Source organism: Homo sapiens, chromosome 13 (genome assembly GCF_000001405.40).
Source record: "Homo sapiens chromosome 13, GRCh38.p14 Primary Assembly".
In the NCBI taxonomy this organism is placed as follows: Eukaryota; Metazoa; Chordata; class Mammalia; order Primates; family Hominidae; genus Homo; species Homo sapiens.
Window position 1 is genome coordinate 113,323,957 of NC_000013.11, and position 21,008 is coordinate 113,344,964.

Sequence of the window (21,008 nt, forward strand, 5' to 3'; positions counted from 1 at the left end):
ATCACCACGGCACACGTTTACCTGTGCAACAGACCTGTACACCCTCCACCTGTACCCAGAAGTTAAAAGTTGAAGGGAGAAAATGATCTTTCTAAAGAGAAATCACCTACTACGTGCAGAAGCCTCACATAAACTGCACGCTCTGTCACAGAAAGGAATGGAATATTGACACTGCCGCTGTAAGACCTCAGTGACCACTCACTATGTTAATTTCCAGTCAGCTGAGAAACTGATCACAAACACAGGTGTTGGCATACTTTATTAGATACAAACCCACACTCACATTTTATATATTATTGATCTCTCAGGTAAAAATAAGTTTTCTTTAAAAAGTATGACTTCATAGCTAATCATCAAAAGCTGGTAGAATGACCTGATTTTAAACTGCTCTTTTAAAAAATTCACAACTAAAGTGTAGTGATGTCAAGTATTTACAACACTAAAAAGGAAAGCAGTGAAAGTTGGTCCAGTGTCAACTCTGGAAAGGGGCATCGTCAGTGTAGAGACGAGCAACGCAGGGGACAGGCACGCTCACCCCTGTGCCAGCAGCCGGGCCCTGCAGCTCTCGCGGAGCTTGGCGACGGTGGCCATGGATAAGCTTCCAGGTTCTGAAAATATTTTCTGGAAGGCAAACAGTTAGTTTAAAAACAAACCCAACAACCCATTTCTACGTTAGCTCTCCCAGACTGGCAGGCAGGCAGACAGGCCTCGTGTGAGGTGAGGGAGGAGCAGTCCACATCCAAGGGCTTCTGGGGTGACCCACAGATTGTCACCATCTCACTCCTGCCCTGGGGCCTAGGACTGCAGCTTTGCTGCTCAGAAATGTTAAATGAATCAAACGGTGGAAGAAAAGGCCATCTGCTTCCATTAGACTTTTTTTTTTTTTTTGAGACAGAGTCTCACTCTGTTGCCCAGGCTGGAGTGCAGTGGCGCGATCTCGGCTCACTGCAACCTCCGCCTCCCAGGTTCAAGTGATTCTCGTGCCTCAGCCTCCCGAGTAACTGGGACTACATAAGCGTGAGCCACCACACCTGGCTAATTTTTGTATTTTTTAGTAGAGACGGGGTTTCACCGTGTTGGCCAGGCTGGTCTTGAACTCCTGACCTCAGGTGATCCACACGCCTTGGCCTCCCAAAGTGCTGGGACTGCAGGCGTGAGCCACCGCGCCCGGCCAACATGGTCTTCTCTTTGATGAAGGCCCAGCTGCTGAAATACCGCCCACGTTTGCCATGCTGCACCCAGAGTGGCCCCGAGCCTCCACTCCCTCTTAGGAAACTACTGACTCCCAGGCCTGAGCCTCTCCTGGCGTCTTGGCTTCCTCAGAAGGCCTGTCAGGTACAGCTCCCACAACGCCCTCATCAGGACCTGAGTCTATACGGCCTGCGCCAGGTCCAGGACCCAGTGGGGAGGCCGGGCCTCGGGAAGCCACACTTCTGGCACCACACACAGCAGATGAGTACAGCCATTAGGACCAGGAGCAGCGTCCGCAGTGCCAGGGCCAAGAAGACAGGGCCGCCATAGACAGGAAAGCCCTCGGAGGCCAGGCGCAGGGGGCAGATGCAGGACAGAGCTGGAGGCTCATCCTGTGCCCTATGCCCACTGGTGCCCGTCCTGTGCACCCTCCGGGTGGTCAGAGCAGCCCCCGGGCTGCAGGTGAGGCGGGGCCCCCTGGGAGGGGACTGAGCCACGTGCAGCCCCACACACCTGCATAAACGTGTGACACTCCATCACGAAACTCCCTTTGGTTATCTGCTTAAACTTATCGCAAATGTCTGGAACGCTGGTGGCTTCCAAAATCAACTCCTGGTGCTGCTTAATTAAGGTCAGGGCCACCCGGAAGATAATCTTCGAGCCTTCGTTAAACAAACAGTCCCAGATCCGAAGCACTGTCTGCAGAGACATGGGAACCCGGTGTCACTCCCTGGCGGCCCGCCCGCCCCAGGGCCCGAGTGAGGCGCTCACCTCCACGGGCAAGATGTCCACAAACAGGCAGATGAACCAGCGGGACACCAGCAGCGTCCACAGCACACCGAGACGCTCCATCAGGGCCCCCACAGCCGGCAGCTTCGCCCGCACCAGCTCCCCGAGGACCTCCTGGTCGGTCTTCAGGCCCAGCATGGCCGGGCTGTAGTAATCTGCCAGGCAATGTGGAGAAAAGACCCCGAGACACTCCCGTCACCTCCACAAGCCCCATTCCCCTCAGAGCCAGACAAAGACAACAGGGCCACCCTGGGAGGACCCCTCCCAAGAGGGAGGGACAAAGTTGGAGAGGAAGAGTCGGGGTGAGGCCTGCAGACACAGGGCTCATGGGGAGCGACCCCCACAGCCAGGCCTTTCAGGACGTCCCTGAGGCTGGAGGGATAGGCTGGATGCCGCCTGGCTGGGCATCAGTTAAAATCTGCAGGTGGAGGGTGGCGCGGTGGGGGGGGGGGGGGCGGGAGCGTGGCTCACACCTGTAATCCCAGCACTTTGGGAGGCCGAGGCGGGTGGATCACCTAAAGTCAGGAGTTCAAGACCAGCCTGGCTGACATGGCTGAAACCCCGTCTCTACTAAAAATACAAAAATTAGCCAGGTGTGGTGGTGGGCACCTGTAACCCCAGCTATTCAGGAGGCTGAGGCAGGAGAATCGCTTGAACCTGGGAGGTGGAGGTTGCAGTGGGCCGAGATCACACCACTGCACTCCAGTCTGGGCCACAGAGCGAGACTCTGTCTCAAAAAAACAAACAAACAAAAATCTGCAGGTGGAAAAGAGAGTCCCAAGGAGGTGCAGGCACCCCCGTGTTCCTAGCAGAACTATTTACAACAGCCAAGAGATGGAGGCAACCCACGTGTCCGTCGGCAGACAAGTGGATAACCAACATGTGAATGTCCACACGACGGAATATTATTCAGCCTTAGAAAGGGAGGAAGTCAGGCCACAGCAGCGGGAGGGAGGGAGTGACAGGACCGAGTTCAGTCTGGGAAGATGAAACAGCTCTGGAGAGGGCGGCGGCAATGGTTACACAGAGAGGTAAGCGGCCCTTGTGCCACTGAACTGCACAGGGGAAAGACATGGGTAAGATGGTACATTCTATGTTCTGTGTATTTTACCACAGTAGAAATAAAACGTACTCAGATAAATACTTCCAACAGCTTGCCCTTCTTTTGAATGGACATTTGTCTTACCAAAGCACTTTTGTGTTTACCTACGTAATTTTTTAACTTGTTCATGTAATGAGTTATAGTACATTTTTTTTTGAGACGGAGTCTCGCTCTGTCACCGAGGCTGGAATGTAGTGGCATGATCTTAGCTCACTGGAACCTCTCTGCCTCCTGGGTTCAAGCAATTCTCCTGCCTTAGCCTCCTGAGTAGCTGGGACTACAGGTGCTCACCACCACGCCCAAGCTAATTTTTGTATTTTCAGTAGAGACAAAGTTTCACCATATTTGCCAGGCTGGTCTCGAACTCCTGACCTCATGATCTGCCCGCCTCGGCCTCCAAAAGTGCTGGGATTACAGGCGTGAGCCACTGCGCCCAGTCTGTTCTTGTTAATTCAATATCTTGGTTAAAATAGAACCATCACAAACACTGACGCAACATCACGGTCCTGTCACTGCTTTTCAGAGTGAGCACACAGTGAAGTCGGTTTAATAGTAAATACTAACGCCTCTGAAGGTGATTTAGCCAGAGCCAATTCAGTGAGCAAGCGCCAAGGATTAAAAACGCCTCCCTTCCATATCCTTGTTCTGCACCTGCCACTGGGGTTCTGAGCGCTTTGCTCATCTTTCACCTTCTTAGCTGAGCACATACCGTTCCAGCTGGGGAGAGAGGGGTGAAGAACCATCAATCAGTGCCCACCCTGGTTCTGCAGGTGGCCCCCAACCCCACAGGTGGTGTGGCAGGGGGGCTTGAGTGCCAGGCAGCAGGGGGTCTGCAGAGACACACAGCCTGACCTTGGCCCCAGACACAGAGAAGCTTAGAACAGCTTCCAAAAATAGAGGCGCTGAACTCATTCCCTAAACTCCACCAGGCTGAGCCGGCCACCAAGGGGAGGATTAAATTAAAGCCGCAGCTTCTTTCCCTTCCTTGAACATCGAGGGCAAGGTGGTTCCTCCCAGGCCCAGCCGGCGCAGCGGCTGCTCCCTGCAGAAGGGGCTCATCCCTCAGGCTGAGGCGCAGGCACTGATGTTCCCAGGTGACCACCTCATCTGGTCTCGCGCCGCTATCCCCCCAGGCTCCTTGTCCCTGTCCTTCTGGGGACATCCACGCCTCTGCAAACCACCCAACACTGTGCATTCATCACCGAGGCTCCGGGACGGCACCTGCCTGGCCAGGACGGGGGCACAGCTCTGACACTCCCCTGCACACCCCTCAGGGTCTGCGGTCAGACGTGGGCAGGGGCCATACAAAGACGGTGGCCACAGGCGTCTGCACATGGCTGTGGCTTCCTCCTACTTCATTTCCACTCTGCAGATCTTCCTCTGAGAGCAGGTGTGAGTCCCAAGACCACTCTCTCACATGCACTCACAGGCCAGTTCTCCACCCTGGTGCTTTCAATTAGAAAACAAAAGGTGTGAGTTGAAGACTCAAACAATTTTTTGAGACAGGGTCTCACTCTGTCGCCCAAGCTGGAGTGCAGTGGTGCTATCACAGCTCACTGCAGCCTCAACCTCCTGGGCTCAAGTGATCCCCCTGCCTCAGCCTCCTGCGTAGCTGGGACCACAGGTGTGCACCACCACACCCAGCTAATTTTTAAATATTTTTTGTAGAGAGAAGGTTTTACCATGTTGCCCAGGCTGGTCTAGAATTCCTGGGCAGCCAAAACATTAAATGGTCTGTGCAGCCTTCTGTGAAAGGAGTTTCCATTCCCAGGGGCGTCTCCCTCTCCCTTTCCCTACCAGGAAAGACACCCCTGAAATCCACATCTCAAACCTTACAAAGCAGCCTTGTGGACTAAATTTTCCTGATTCCCTTCCCCGCCCAGAAGCCTGATGCATCTCAAACCTTACAAAGCAGCCTGTGGACTAAATTCTCCTGGTTCCCTTCCCTGCCCAGAAGCCTGAAGGTAGCAGGCTGCCCAGGATGGTGAATGCGCCCAGGCGCCAGCCACGCTTTATGTCCCCCGATCCGGGTGCTCTCCAGGGTGTGCGTGACACGTGTTGATAAGCGTCTTTTTCTCACTCATTATTCAGTCTTCGGCCAGTCCCATGTACAGAGCCCAGCTGGGGGACCTAAGGTGTACAGGGGAAGACCTTTCTTCCTCCCTGGCCACCGACAGTTAAGGAAGGTATAATCCACGCATAACACACTCTGCAGTGCCACGGAGACATTGGGAGAGAGCTTAAAAATTACCGCATTGGCCGGGTGCAGTGGCTCACACCTGTAATCGCAGCACTTTGGGAGGCTGAGACGGGTAGATCACCTGAGGTCAGAAGTTTGAGACTAGCCGGGCCAACATGGTGAAAACCCATCTCTACTAAAAATACAAAAATTAGCTGGGCGTGGTGGCCAGCACCTGTAATCCCAGCTACTCAGCTACTCAGGAGGCTGAGCAGGAGAATTGCTTGACCCGGGAGATGAAGGTTGCAGTGAGCCGAGATCGTGCCACTGCACTCCAGCCTGGGCAACAGAGTGAAACTCCATCTCAAAAAATAAAAAATAAAAATAAAAATAAATTACTGCAAGATGTGTGGAAATTCCCACCACGTGATGTCAAATGAAAAAGATGGGATGCGGGACTACATACAAAGCACTCCAAGTGTTTCTAAAATAGCTGCCCCATGTGCATAGAAAAGACGACCCAGGCTTGCACCAAAAATACCATTTGTGGGGCTCACCCCCACTGATAGGGGTAGTGGGCGGTTCCGATCTTTATCTAGACTTCTCCCTCTTCTTCAGTATTAACACAATGGAAGTGACTCATAAAAGATAATCAGAAAATGGTTACGTGAATGAGATAATGGCGTCAATGCCAAGGAGGGAGCTGGGCGCCCAGGTGGGCAGGGGATGTAGCTGATGCAAGTGTGCATGGAAAACCAGGTGTGTGCATGGGAGCCCGGGTGCGTGCATGGGAGCCCAGGTGCGTACATGGAAACCCAGGTGCCTGCATGGAAACCCGGGTGCGTGCATGGAAACCCGGGTGCGTGCATGGAAACCCGGGTGTGTGCATGGAAACCCGGGTGTGTGCATGGAAACCCAGGAGTGTGCATGGAAACTCAGGTGCGTGCATGGGAGCCCAGGTGCGTGGATGGAAACCCAGATGTGTGCATGGGAGCCCAGGTGCGTGGATGGAAACCCGGGTGTGTGCATGGAAACCCAGGTGTGTGCATGGGAGCCCAGGTGTGTGCGTGGAAACTCAGGTGCGTGCATGGAGCCCAGGTGCGTGGATGGAAACCCAGGTGTGTGCATGGGAGCCCAGGTGTGTGGAAGGAAACCCAGGTGTGTGCATGGAAGCCCAGGTGTGTGCATGGAAACCCGGGTGTGTGCATGGGAGCCCGGGTGTGTGCATGGGAGCCCGGGTGTGTGCATAAAAACCCAGGTGTGTGCATGGGAGCCCAGGTGTGTGCATGGGAGCCCAGGTGTGTGCATGGAAACCCAGGTGTGTGCATGGGAGCCCAGGTGTGTGCATGGGAGCCCAGGTGTGTGCATGGAAACCCAGGTGTGTGCATGGGAGCCCAGGTGTGTGCATGGGAGCCCAGGTGTGTGCATGGGAGCCCAGGTGTGTGCATGGAAACCCAGGTGTGTGCATGGGAGCCCAGGTGTGTGCATGGAAACCCGGGTGTGTGCATGGAAACCCAGGTGTGTGCATGGGAGCCCAGGTGTGTGCGTGGAAACTCAGGTGCGTGCATGGAGCCCAGGTGCGTGGATGGAAACCCAGGTGTGTGCATGGGAGCCCAGGTGTGTGGAAGGAAACCCAGGTGTGTGCATGGAAGCCCAGGTGTGTGCATGGAAACCCGGGTGTGTGCATGGGAGCCCGGGTGTGTGCATGGGAGCCCAGGTGTGTGCATGGAAAACCAGGTGTGTGCATGGGAGCCCAGTGTGTGCATGGGAGCCCAGGCGTGTGCATGGAAAGCCAGGTGTGTGCATTGGAGCACAGGTGTGTGCATGGGAGCCCAGGTGCGTGGATGGAAACCCAGGTGTGTGCACGGGAGCCCAGGTGTGTGCATGGGAGCCCGGGTGTGTGCACGAAAGCCTAGGTGTGTGCATGGGAACCCGGGTGTGTGCATGGAAACCGGTCGCAGCTCTCCTGTGAAGAAGCACCTGCCCAGCCCCGGCTTCCATCCAGATAGGAGGAATCCACCTCTTCCCAACAGACATGGTCTTTGCTCCTCATCTGAGCCACAGGATTGACCATGGCAGAGACCAGGTGCATGACCTGGGGGTTGGGGGCTCAGGGGCGGCTGCTACCAGGATGGCCTTGCCTCTGTGAGTGACCACAGCTGCGGGGCTGGGATACCAGGAGGCACGGGCTGCAGCATGGGAGGCGGCCCAGGAGGAGATGCCAAGAAGGCACAGCAAGGACAGCCAGTGCAGGAGCCACCCGGGTGCCCACCCAGCAGCTGCGCACCCCCACTGCCCGAGCCAGCCTCTCTGCATCTCTTTTCCTGAGAAGACTTCGGCGTGGCACAGCCCTTACAGGGCGTGAGCCTTCTCAGACGCAGCTCAGGTTACAGCAAGGAAGCTGCAAGGCTGGTTTTGCTGTTTGGTTTACTTTTTTTTTTTTTTTTTTTTTTTTTTAGACAGAGTCTCACTCTGTCACCCAGGCTGGAGTGCAGTGGTATAATCTCGGCTCACTGCAACCTCCGCCTCCCAGGTTAAAGCGATTCTCCTGCCTCAGCCTCCTGAGTAGCTGGGATCACAGGCATCCGACACCAGGCCCGGCTAATTTTTTGTATTTTTAGTAGAGACGGGGTTTCATCATGTTGGCCAGGCTGGTCTCGAATTCCTGACCTCAGGCGATCCACCCACCTCGGCCTCCCAAAGTGCTGAGATTACAGGCGTGACCCACCATGCCTAGCCTTTTGTTTACATTTAAAAAAAGGTATTTTGGGCCGGGTGCCATGTCTTATGCCTGTAATCCCAGCACTCTGGGAGGCCGAGGTGGGAGGATTGCTTGAGCCCAGGAGTTCCAGACCAGCCTGGGCAACAAAATAAAAAATAAATTTTAAAAAACCTAGCCATGAAATAGCAACAATAAGAACTGCACAAAGAACCCCCACATCCCCATCAGATTCCCTGACTGTGAACATTTCAGCACATTTGCTCCCCCGTCACCTCCCTATCTGCACGCACACCACACACAGGTACACACGTGCACACGCACACCACACACAGGTACACACGTGCACACACACACCACACGTGCACACGCACGCCACACACAGGTACACACGTGCACACGCACGCCACACACAGGTACACACGTGCACACGCACACCACACACGCACACGCACGCCACACACAGGTACACACGTGCACACGCACACCACACAGGCACACACGTGCACACGCACACCTGCCTCCATCCCCTGGACTGTGTGAGGCAGAGCTGCACACTCACTGCCCCATCGCACCAAATACTCCAGGGCGTGCTTCCCCAAACAACAGTATGGCCACCTCGACACTAGTCAACACCGACACCACCTCCCAGTTCCCAGATCCCACCCGACGGTCTTCAAGCACTCCGTAAGGACAGTTCCCACAAACACATCCCGAGGAATCCACCCAAGAACAAGCTTCAGGAGCCACACTGACAAAGGCCCAGTGACACACATTACGCCAGAGTTTCCTGGAGAAACAGGCGGGTCCAGGTCTGGGGCAGAAGGCCCATGGGGTGAGCCCAGAGTAGCCTGTCCTGCAGACTCGAGGAAGCCGTCGGCGCCACATTCACATCCACAGGACTCAGGGGCCAACCAGAAGAGGCTCCCGCTGGCCACAGATGGGCCAACCTGAGCTTCAAGAAGGATAAAAACCCTCCAGTGTGTGCAGCCCAGGAGTCCACAGTTGACATGGACACACAGCACTGACCAACCGCCTTCTAGTGACCAGACGCCAATTTATTATTTTGAGGGCGGGGACATAAAGCCAAGGGACCAGCATTTATCCCGCCTCTTCTAATGGACTCATGACATCAGGTCTTGATTCAGCCACCAGTCTGCAGGAAATTTCGAGGAGAGGGGCCCAGCCGGAGGGCGCTGGGGTATCCTCATCAGGAAAGCCTGAGGCGCCGAGCTCGGAGGGTTGGCTTACCCAAGTGCTTGGACAGGAAGAGAAAGAGGTGCAGATTCCCACGCACAGACCGAAGGGGCCCAAGGGTTCCTCACGTGTAACCCGGGGCAATGCTAAGACACACAGCCCAGGTGCCCATGCACATGGCGAACCACAGAAAACAGCACAGAGCAGTGTGGTCACAGTCAGGAAGATGGGATCCAGTCACAACCTTTGCCAAACTCACGAATGCACCCATCACCACTGCACCGTACGCTTGAAATGGAGGGACTGTGGGATAAGTGGATTTCACCTCAACAAAGATTTCTCTTCAGTGCCTGTGCTTTTATTGTTTTATTTTATTTATTTATTTTTTTGAGATAGGGTCTTGCTCTGTCACCCAGGCTGGAGAGCAGTGGCGTGATCTCGGCTCACTGCAACCTCCACCTCCCAGGCTCAGACAATTCTCGTGCCTCAGCCTCCCGAGCAGCTGGGATTACAGGTGTGCACCACCACGCCCAGCTAATTTTTGTATTTTTAGTAGAGATGGGGTTTTGCCATGTTGTCCAGGCTGCTCTTGAGCAATCTGCCTGCCTAGGACTCCCAAAATGCTGGGATTACAGGCGAGAGCCACCACGCCCATCTCAGTGCCTGTACTTTATTTATTTATTTATTTATTTATTTATTTATTTAGTGTGTGTGTGTGTGTGTGTGTGTGTGTGTGTGTGTCCGAGGCTGGAGTGCAGTAGCGCGATCTTGGTTCACTGCAGCCTCCACCTTCCAGGTTCAAGCAACTCTCCTGCCTCAGCCTCCTGAGTAGCTGGGATTATAGGTGTGCGCCACCATGCCTGGCTAATTTTTGTATTTTTAGTAGGGATGAGGTTTCGCCATACTGGCCAAGCTGGTCCCGAACTCCTGACCCCAGGTGATCTGCCCACCTCAGCCTCCCAAAGTGCTGGGATTACAGGGGTGAGCCGCCGCGCCTGGCCCATGCCTGTGCATTTAGAAACATGTAAAGTTTTCTCAAACACAGGGGACATCTTGAGACAGATAACATGAGAAACTCTCTGTAGGGTCCGGAGGACCGAGAGGGAGGGACCTGCTTCCCCTTCGTCCCCACCCTGCACTGCCACGACAGCCTCCCGCCCACCCTGCACTGCTACGACAGCCTCCCGCTGGCCTGTGACTTTTGCACCTAGAAGCTGACTAGTTAATAAAATTTAAGTCAGCTGCAAAGATAAAGGAATCGAGAAAAACAGAAAATAAGAACCGCAAATGCTTACCTAGGTATTAACTTAGTTCAGAGTGATAAATCAGTCGTGCGCGGAAACAGTTTCATCCTGCACTGAACCACTCTTGCGGATTCTCAATTTGAGATTATAAATAAGCAATAAAGTTGTCCTAGGGTTAGAATGAGAAACTGGTGGAAATCCTCAATTTGCTAGACAGAACAAATCTTTAAACAGAAAAAAAAAGCACGTAATCCTTCAGGCAAAGGAAAGACTTTCTAACTGGGGTGGGCAGAGCAGGGAGGGCCCCTCTGGCCTCGGGTTCACCAGGGAGAGCCGTGAGCAGCAACAGTGGGCTCATCAGACAGCCGCAAACATGAGCACCACAGCCCGGCAGTGGAGGACTGATGGCCTTTTCCTCTTTAACTTCTGTAAGTTTGGCTTGGCTAATTCTTTTCTTTTGAGATGGACACTTGCTCTGTCGCCCAGGCTGGATGGAGTGCAGTGGCGCGATCTCGGCTCACTGCAAGCTCCGCCTCCCGGGTTCACGCCATTCTTCTGCCTCAGCCTCCCGAGTAGCTGGGACTACAGGTGCCCGCCACCACGCCCGGCTAATTTTTTGTATTTTTAGTAGACACGGGGTTTCACTGTGTTAGCCAGGATGGTCTCGATCTCCTGACCTCGCGATCCGCCTGCCTCAGCCTCCCAGAGTGCTGGGATTACAGGCATGAGCACCATGCCTGGCCAAGTTTGTCTAATTCTTAAACCTGTCAGTTTTATAATGCTAAAAAGGTTTATTTTTAATATTTATGGATACCTAATAGGTGTACATATTAATGGTGTCCATGTGATATTTTGATACAGGCATTCAATGTGTCATGATCAGACCTGGGTCACTGGAGGCTGGCCGTGGTGGTGTGTGCCTGTAATCCCAGCTACTTGGGAGGCTGAGGCAGGAGAATCGCTTGAACCCAGGAGGCGGAGGTTGCAGTGAGCCGAGATCATGCCATTGCACTCCAGCCTGAGAGACAGAGCGGGACTCTGTCTCACAAAAAACAAAAAACAAAAACCTGGGTAACGGATCCACCCACATTTACCATTTCTTTGTGTTGGGAACATTCCAAATCTTCTCTTCTAGCTATTTTGAAATACATGTTACTGTTACCTATAGTGGGTCTGACCTACTAACACACGGTCTCACTTCTTCTAACTGTAGGTCTGTAACCATTAACGAGCCTCTCTATCCCCCTCCCTTCCTGGCCTCTGGTAACTGCCCTTCTACTCTCTGCCTCCATGAGTTTCATTTTTATTTAGCGCCCACATGTGGGTGGGAACATGTGATATCTGTCTCTGCACCCGGCTTATTTCACTTAACACAGTGTCCTCTGGTTCCCTCCATGCTGCTGAAATGACGGGATTTTTTTTTTTTCTTTTTGAGATGGAGTCTTGCTGTTGTCGCCCAGGCTGGAGCGTAGTGGTACAAACTCAGCTCACTGCAGCCTCAACCTCCTAGGTTCAAGCGATTCTCCTGCCTCAGCCTCCTGAGTAGCTGGAATTATAGATGCCCGCCACCACGCCTGGCTACTTTTTGTATTTTAGTAGAGAAAGGGTTTCACCGTGTTGACCAGGCTGGTCTGAAACTCCTGACCTCAGGTGATCCACCCGCCTCGGCCTCACAAAGTGCTGGGATTACAGGCGACAGCCACCACGCCTGGCCAGGATCTCATTCTTTCTAAGGCTGAACAGCACTCTGCTGAGTGTGTGCACCCCACTTTCCTTATCCATCCATCTGCGGTCAGACACCTGGGTTGATTCTATCCTGGCTGCTGGGAGCAGTGCCGTGGCGAACGCTGGAGGACAGATGCCCTTCAACAGAGTAACTTCCTTTCTTCTGGAAACACACCCAGCAGTGGGAATAAGGTAGTTTTTTTTTTTTTTTTTAAGGCAAAATAGGTACTGTAAAATTTAATTAAAAAACAAACAAACATGCAAAGGGTTCCTCACCCTCTAGGTGTAAGATTCAGTCCCAAGTCCTCCTCTGAAAGCAAAGTGCCCTCGGTGTGCCGAGCACTAGGAAAGGCCAACTTGGACTCAGCACCAGGCCAGGATTCTCCACTGCTGCCTGCAGACACCATCGCTGGGAGACTGAAGAACAGGGGGGCTCTGGCCGTGGTTGGGGGCGAGGTGAGGGGGGCTGGCTTCAGAGCCACCCGCTGGGGTGGCCCTGCCTACACCTACACTAGCTGTGCAGGACACCAGCCCCTTGCCCTGGGCCCTACCTCTGCACTGGGAACACGAGACCCCACCTGATGTCCTGAAGCCCTGAGGACAGCGGACACATGAACTGCCCTAGAACGGTACCAACCATCCCTCCAGACAGCGGACGCACACAGGCCAAGTGCCCGCCTGGCGCTCAGCCCTAGAACTGTACCAACCATCCCTCCAGACAGCAGATGCGTGAGGGTGAGAGGGCTCTGGGAAAACCCACCGCACTTCCCAAGTGCCCTGTACAAATTTCCAGATTCCAGAAAAGGTGCAGAGAAGCTACCAGGAAATAATGTTTCTGATGTGCTTATGCTGTTACATTTCACAAGTAAAAAGCTAACAGACCTGTTACATGTCAACTAAACAAACTGAGGCCAGGCGTGGTGGCTCAAGCCTGTAATCCCGGCACTTTGGAAGGCTGAGGTGGGAGGATCATTTGAGCCCAAGAGTTCGAGACCAGCCTGGGCAATTCAAGAAGACCCTGTCTGTACTCAAAATAAAAAAATTAGCCGGGCATGGTGGTGCACACCTGCAGTCCCTGCTAGTTGGGAGGCTGAGGTGGGAGGATCACTTGAACCCAGGAGGTCAAAGGCTGCAGTGAGCTGTGATGGTGCCACTGTACTCCAGCCTGGCAACAGTGAGATCCTGTATCCAATAAATAATAAATAAATAAACTTTAGAAGTAGCTAAGATCTCCGGCTAAATACTTGGTAGAAAACTGAGCAATTACTTAAATTTCAAGATCCCACTAAATTAGATCAACTGTCTTGAATTCAGCAATTTGTTAGCATACAACTCAATTAAACTTTATCTGCTATAACTAGGAGACCCTGAATGGAAAAGCGGCAATGACTTTTTTCCCTAATATATAGAGTTCTTTTAAAAAAAAGTAGCTTATGGCGAAACCTGGTATCAAGAGGCCTCGGATTGTACAGCGTGCTTTCTGCGCAACCCTCTCACGGAATAAGCTCACACTTAAGGTGCAAGGCCTGAGGCCCACAGGTCTGGTGAGCCTGGCCGCCTGGTGACTCAGCGCAATCTGATCCCAAAACAGCTGTTCCTGACCCCAGAGACCAGCCTCCTGTGACAAAGCCAGCCCAACGGGGGCGTGGCCCAGGCCACATGAGCACCACCCTCAGGACAGGTGACCTCAGGGAACCCCACTCGGGAGGACGCAGGAAACGCACCTCCGATGTGGCAATTGCGGCGCCAAGAGCCTCCCTCCACCCACCTCTGCTCACGGGGCTGAGCCGTGGTCCCCACAGAATGTGCCTTGTCGGTCCACATCTCAGCCAGTCCTCCCAGCCAGAGCTGAGGTATTTCTATGTCGAGTTGTTAAAACCTGACCTGCTTCCCTATTTTTCAGAGGAAACCAGGTCAAACCCATCTTTCAGGATGTAGAGCGCTAATTCAGGGCTGCACCGACTCATGACTGACGCAGTCTTCCGAGACAGGGCCCCCTCCACCCTCAGTCACGCGGCAGGGCCCGGTCAACCTCCTCCTCTGAGGAGGCCCGGGACCCATCGCCCGCCCGGGGAGCGGCGTCTGCACCTTCTTCCTGCGTCCTTTCCATGCCTTGTTGGGATGGTGATTGATGGCCATCATCTTCATGGGCTCTACAAGAGGCCGCGGGTGTGGCAGGTGTTCTGGGCTGAGAACTCGGGGTGTGGGGCATCTGCGTGTGGATGGTCACAGGCCACGGGGAGCGTGTCCTCAGGTCACTTCCTAACTGAATTGGGATTAGAGGCATTTGCTGGTAAAAGTAACTCCCTTAATTGGACCCCCTCTAAGTGACTCATGAGCGATGAACCAAACAGTCCGCAACAACAGTGGTGGGGGAAACCGGGGAGGCAGATGTGGGGTGCAGGCCTTGGGCGGGGAGGCCTGAGATGGGATCTCAGCCCGGGGATGGGATCTCAGCCTTGCTGGCGGACTGTGTATGAGCTACTTAATCCCCACCAGTCTCGGCCTCCTCCAAGGAAAAAGACGACAATGTGCATGACATTTTCAATACCCAGACGGACTCGCACCCCGTGGTCACTGCCCCACGGCAGGGAGCTTTCGTTTTGTGTCACGGGCCTGGAGGCCTCGGTGGCTGCAGAAGGCTCCACTCCAACCCCAGTCTTTCCATTTCCACCTTCATGCTCACCAGGGAGCTCAGCCATGGGTTCACAGGTCTGCTGGCCATTCCGGTCTCTATTTTGTAAATTGCCTGTCAGGCACATTCTTCACCTGATGTTCTGCTGAGCTGTTTCTTTTTCTGCTTAGATTTTTTTTTTTTTTTTTTTTTTGAGACGGAGCTTCACTCTTGTTGCCCAAGCTGGAGTGCAATGGTGCAGTCTCGGCTCACTGCAACCTCTGCCTCCCAGGTTTAAGTGATTCTCCTGCCTCAGCCTCCCAAGTAGCTGGGATTACAGGTGCACTGCACCATGCCCAGCTAATTTTTGTATTTTTAGTAGAGACAGAGTTTTACCATGTTGACCAGGCTGGTCTCGAACTCCTGACCTTAGGTGATCCACCCACCTCAGCCTCCCAAAGTGCTGGGACTACAGGCATGAGCCACCACACCCTGGCTTTCTGCTTAGATTTTTAGAAATTCACACACAGTCCAGACACTAACCCTTTGTTAATTATATGGATCAAAGATACTTTCTCAAACCAGCAGCTTATCTTTTTACTTTGCTTATGATGTCTCTTACCAAAATTAGTTTTTAAATTTTCATGTAATTAAAATTATCAATGCCTTTTATACTTTTTGAATTATGTTCAAGAACTTCTCCCCTACTCCCACATGACACGACTGTTCTGTATTTTGTTCTCTGAGTTTCAAAGTTTTACTTTTTTACATGAGTCTTAAATCCATCTGGAAATGAAATAAGGGTTTAATTTTGTTTTCTTCCATACAGTCAACTGTCACTGAATTATGTTTTAAACAGTCTTTTTCCCATTAATTGATATATCTCACAAAAGACATTCCCATAAATTAATAGATCCACAGACTGGTTGATTTCTATCTGGCTTCGCAATTTTGTTCCATTGGTCTGTTTATCCATTCATAACCTAATACCACACCATTTTAATTATTAGAGCATTATAATATATCTCTAGTGTTCTTCTTTCAAGCCTTCTTGGCTTGGCTTTGCCCTTGATTATTCCATATGATTAAGCCATCCTTGGATTTCTGGAAAAAACTATCTTCAAACTAAAAAAATACTTCATAGTCACCTGTAGATTCAAGTTGCTAACATTAATAATTAACAATTACATACTTCTATTCATCAGTGAGATTAGTCTGTATGGTGTGAAGGCTATACTAGCTTCATAACATGAAGTGATGAGAGTTTCTTTTTTTTATTTTCTGCAAGATTGATTAATTAATCAGTTATTTAGACAGGGTCTTGCTCTGTCACCCAGGCTGCAGTGCAGTGGCACTACCACAGCTCACTGCAGCCTCGACCTCCTTAGCTCAAGTGATCCTCCCACCTCAGCCTCCTGGGTAGCTGGGACCGCAGGCATGCACCACCCAAAGTGCTACGATTACAGGTATGAGCCACAGATTTATTTTTAAAAAACAGGAATTAATCACAGCCCTTTGTGAGGCCAAGGCAGGAGGACTACTTGAGGCCAGGTGTTCAAGGCCAGCCTGGGCAACATAGCAAGAACCTGTCTCTACAAATAAAAAAAAAAAAATCAACTAGGCATGGTGGTGCCCACCTGTGGTCCCAGCTACTCAGAAGACTGAGGTGGGAGGATCACTTGAGCTAAGGAGGTCGAGGCTGCAGTGAGCCATGATCACACCACTGCACTCCAGCCTGGGTGACAGACTGAGACCCTGTCTCTAAAAAATACAATAAAATGGCCAGGCGCTGTAGTTCACGCCTGTAATCCCAGCACTTTTGGGAGGCCAAGGTGGGCGGATCACCTGAGGTCAGGAGTTTGAGACCAGCCTGGCCAACATGGTGAAACCCCGTCCTTACTACAAATACAAAAATTAGCCGGGCGTGGTGGCGGGCGCCTGTAGTCCCAGCTACTCAGGAGGCTGAGGCAGGAGAATGGCGTGAACCCGGGAGGCGGAGCTTGCAGTGAGCCGAGATTGCGCCACTGCACTCCAGCCTGGGCGACAGAGTGAGACTCTGTCTTGAAAAAATTAAATAAATAAAACAATAAAATAAAAACATTAAAAAGCAGGAGTTACCTGTTCCTTCACAGTTTGATAGCAGTAAAAACCCAGTGTGTCCATGCACACACCCATCAGATGTTCTATTTTCTCTCTCAAGTCAACTTCGTTAGGCTGTTTTTTTCTCAGAATTATCCATTTCTGTCTCTTCATTTTTTTCTTTTGATTCTTAAAAATCTCTACAAATCTTCAAATTACAGCACCTTTTCATTTCTACTATATCTTATCCTTTTTTTTTTTTCTTTCTGAGATAAGAGTCTCACTCTGTCGCCCAGGCTGGAGTGCAGTGGTGTGATCTTGGCTCACTACAGCCTGTTCTAAACTCACGAATGCACCAATCACGACTGCACCATACGCTTGAAATGGGGGAACTGTGGGATATGTGGATTATACCTCAACAAAGATTTCTCTTCAGTGTCTGTGCTTTTATGTATGTGTGTATGTATGTATGTTTGTATATATTTATTTGAGACAGGGTCTTGTCCTGTTGCCCAGGCCTGAGTGCAGTGGTGTGATCTCGGCTTTCTGCAACCTCTGTCCCCTGGGTTCAAGCAATTCTCCTGCTTCAGCCTCCCAAGTAGCTGGGACTACAGGCACCCGCCACCACGCCCAGCTAATTTTTGTATTTTTAGTAGAGATGGGGTTTCACCATGTTGGTCAGGCTGGTCTCGAACTCCTGACGTCAGGTGATCCTCTTGCCTCAGCCTCCCAAAGTGCTGGGATTACAGGCGTGAGCCACCGTGCCCAGCTACATTTTTTTCTTATCAGTCTTACCAGAGGTTTGTCTATTTATCAGTTTTCCCAAAGAACCAGATTTTTGTCTGAGTTTATCTTTTCTTCTGTTTCTCTGTTTCTGTCGCTAATTTTCAGTCCTTCATGTGTATGTTTATATCGGTCTATAAAAACTCTGGAAATACATACATCAGACTGATGATAACAGTTACCTCTGAGTAGGAGATAAATGGGGATGTGCCAGTGAAGGCGGGTCGTCACTTTTGTTTAAATTTTTATTTTTAGAGATGGGAGGGGTCTCACTTTATTGCCCAGGCTGGTCTCGAACTTCTGGGCTCAAGTGATCCTCTCACCTTGTGGCCTCCCAGATGCTGGGATTATATGTGAGCTACTCTGCCCGGCCCTGTTTTTTTTTGAGATGGAGTCTCGCTCCGTCTTCCCACACTGGAGTGTAGTGGTGTGATCTAGCTCACTGCAACCTCAGCCTCCCTCAAGCTGATTCTTGTGCCTCAGCCTCCTAAGTAGCTGGGATTACAGGCATCTGCCACCACACCTGTCTAATTTTTGTATTTTTAGTGGAGGTGGGGTTTTGCCATGTTGGCCAGGCTGGTCTTGAACTCCCCTAAATGCCTGCCTCGGTCTTGCAAAGTGCTAGGATTACAGGCGTGAGCCACGGCTCCTGGCTGTCACTTTTTATTCTATAAAAAGTACTGTTGGGAGGCCGAGGCAGGCGGATCACGAGGTCAGGAGATCGAGACCATCCTGGCTAACACGGTGAAACCCCATCTCTACTAAAAATACAAAAAAAAATTGGCCAGGCGTAGTGGCGGGCGCCTGTAGTCCCAGCTACTCGGGAGGCTGAGGCAGGAGAATGGCGTGAACCTGGGAGGCGGAGCTTGCAGTGAGCCATTGTGCCACTGCACTCCAGCCTGGGCGACAGAGCGAGACTCAGTCTCAAAAAAAAAAAAGTACTGTATTTTTTGAACTTCTGAAATGAGAATATATCTGTGTATTTCTTGTATAACTTAAAAGCAGCAATTAAGAGCAGGATAACAGTGGCACTGAAACGACCTAGTTTGGGTAACTATAACTTCGAGGATGGATTTTAGAGCAGGATGACTGTGGCACTGAAACGACCTACTTCGGTCACTGTAACTTAGAGAAGGACATATATTTGCCTCTTTTCTCTGCCGCTGGGAGAGCTCTGCCGGGATCGGAATAACCCCCTTTTCCTCCCATGATCCTAACAGTTTAGTTTTTGTACTTTCTTTTCTTTTTGAATCCAGACCTATTTGCATTGCAGTTTCGTTCAACTTAATCTCATAATGAATATCGGAAGTGACGTCGTACGGACTGAAAACGCATCTGTCCATCACACCAGCACGGCGGGGCCTGCTCCTGCCCTCTAGGTTGGTGCTGAGCCCTCCGACCTGAGCTCTCACCTGCTGCTGCTTGAGGTCTGCCCTCCACAAAGACAGGAACTCGTGTGTGCTCACCGATGTTTCCCACACCCCTGAACGGCGCCCAGAACACGATAGGTTTTCAACAATATGTGGTGAAAAGAACTGCATGGCCCACGGCTGTGAAGATTCGCCATGATTTGCACTCAGACATAACCGAAGCAGGCTGTGAGCCCGTTTCCATGTCCTACCAATCCCACATTTGGATGTCTCCTAACTCCATCTGCCTCTAATTTCACCATTCCACCTGGTCCAGGTGTTCACCGAACTGAGCTGAGACAGCCGGCATCCTTTCCGCCCTGCGAGGTTCTGCCTGCTGCTGCTGCTGCTGCACTGGGTCCCTGGGCCCCAGCCGGGTCAACAGCTCTTCCCACTCCCGGGAGCTCTGTGGGGTTCCCTTCCTCTGGGGCGGCTCCGTCAGGCTGGTCTCTGGCATCCTCATTTCTGCGCCCTTGGGTTGAGGGTGGCGCTGATTCCTCCCTGCCCTTAATGATGCACTTGAGCTTTGCCCCATCCGTGAGGACACACACTATGGTCTGTGAGTCACACAGCCAGGATCTGAACCAGGCTCTGCCATGTACAGCGGTGGTCAGGCCAGCACGCAAATTCTCCCGGCCTTCGGTGTCCTCACCCTGGAAATGGGGTGGGTGACTGTGTCCGTGTGGTGTGGCTGTTCTGAGGACAAGCGCAGCTCAGCAGGAAACTGACACATGCCGTGTGCTCACCAGGCAGGAGCTGGAGCCACACACCCCCAGGCTCCAAACACTGGGGACTGGCCCGGCTGCCCCTCACGTCTCCTCTGCCCTGCAGGATGAGCACGCAGCCCCCTTGACCCAGCACCACAGCCAGGCTGGGGAAGGGCAGAGTGGTCTCAGCCCCAGGCCCTGCCCACCCGACTGATCCTCAGCTTCTCTTCCCAAGTGACTTGAGCCTGCAGCTCATCGTCTGCACTGGCCTTCACCATAACCCGTGGATAACTTATCCACTAATAAATACACTTTAATTATTAAATAATTAAACATTAATAAATAGAAAAGTGGAAAGGTTTGAAAAGAATGGTTTTCACCTTAAAAAGTAAGTAATTACTTAAAAAGCAACCATGGATATATATAGCGCAATTATTATGCTCTTACTAGTATTCACAAACTCAGTACAAATACATACATAAAACCAAGATAGCCTCTCAGAGATTCTGTGATCAATACAAACCACACCGTGGCCCTCAATAGGCACAGAAGTTACCAACTGAGGAAGGGGTGAGCCAACCACACAGCCCCAGCTGCCCACAAGGGCTAAGAGACGGCAAAAGGCCCTCTGCCGTCCCAGGAGCAAGCAGTTGCTGCAGCCGGACCCTGGCCACTCACATGGGTTTCTCCTTTTCAACTCAATTTCAAAGAAATTTTTTTACTGCAAAAAGATTTTTGGCCAGGCATGGTGGCTCATGCCTGTAATCCCAGCACTTTGGGAGGCCAAGGCGGGTGGATCACCTGAGGTCAGAAGTTTGAGACCAGCCTGACCAACATGGTGAAACTCCATCTCTACTAAAAATACAAAATTAGCCGGGTGTGGTGGCACACACCTACAATCCCAGCTACTTGGGAGGCTGAGGCAGGAGAATCACTTGAACCCGGGAGGCAGAGGTTCCAGTCAGCCAAGATCACACCACTGCACTCCAGCCTGGGCATCAGAGCGAGACTCCGTCTCAAAAAAAAAAAAAAAAAAAAAAACGGTTTGTAACCTCATCTCCCAAACAATTCAACCATGTTTTAATTAAATTTTGATTTCTCAGCGGAATCATTTTGGCAGCACCAGAAACAGGACAGTTCGGGCATACCGCAGGAATTTTCAACATACCTGGTAGTATTCTTCCAACAAGAGCATCTAACAGCCAAAAAGATTCTTCTTCATTATTTGTTATAAGAATCAGATATCCTGCTATAAAATTCATTCCCTGAA

At 51.7% G+C, this 21,008-nt stretch overlaps 1 protein-coding gene across 4 annotated transcripts in view; it reads right to left on the minus strand.

The window, feature by feature from the left end:
* Window positions 1-206: 206 nt before the first annotated feature.
* The window catches only part of GRTP1 (growth hormone regulated TBC protein 1), a 39,986-nt gene continuing 19,184 nt past the window's right edge, over window positions 207-21,008 (minus strand). The window contains exons 5-8 of one of the 4 annotated variants that reach the window (NM_024719.4): window positions 20,907-21,003; window positions 1,963-2,135; window positions 1,705-1,890; window positions 207-621 (exon numbers count right to left, since the gene is read on the minus strand). In NM_024719.4, the coding sequence (NP_078995.2) occupies window positions 532-621; window positions 1,705-1,890; window positions 1,963-2,135; window positions 20,907-21,003 (546 nt within the window). In that variant the 3' untranslated portion in view covers window positions 207-531. Of the gene's footprint in view, window positions 1,891-1,962; window positions 2,136-20,906; window positions 21,004-21,008 lie in introns of all 4 variants that reach the window. The other 3 variants (NM_001411029.1, NM_001286732.2, NM_001286733.1) reach the window with 3 other exon arrangements.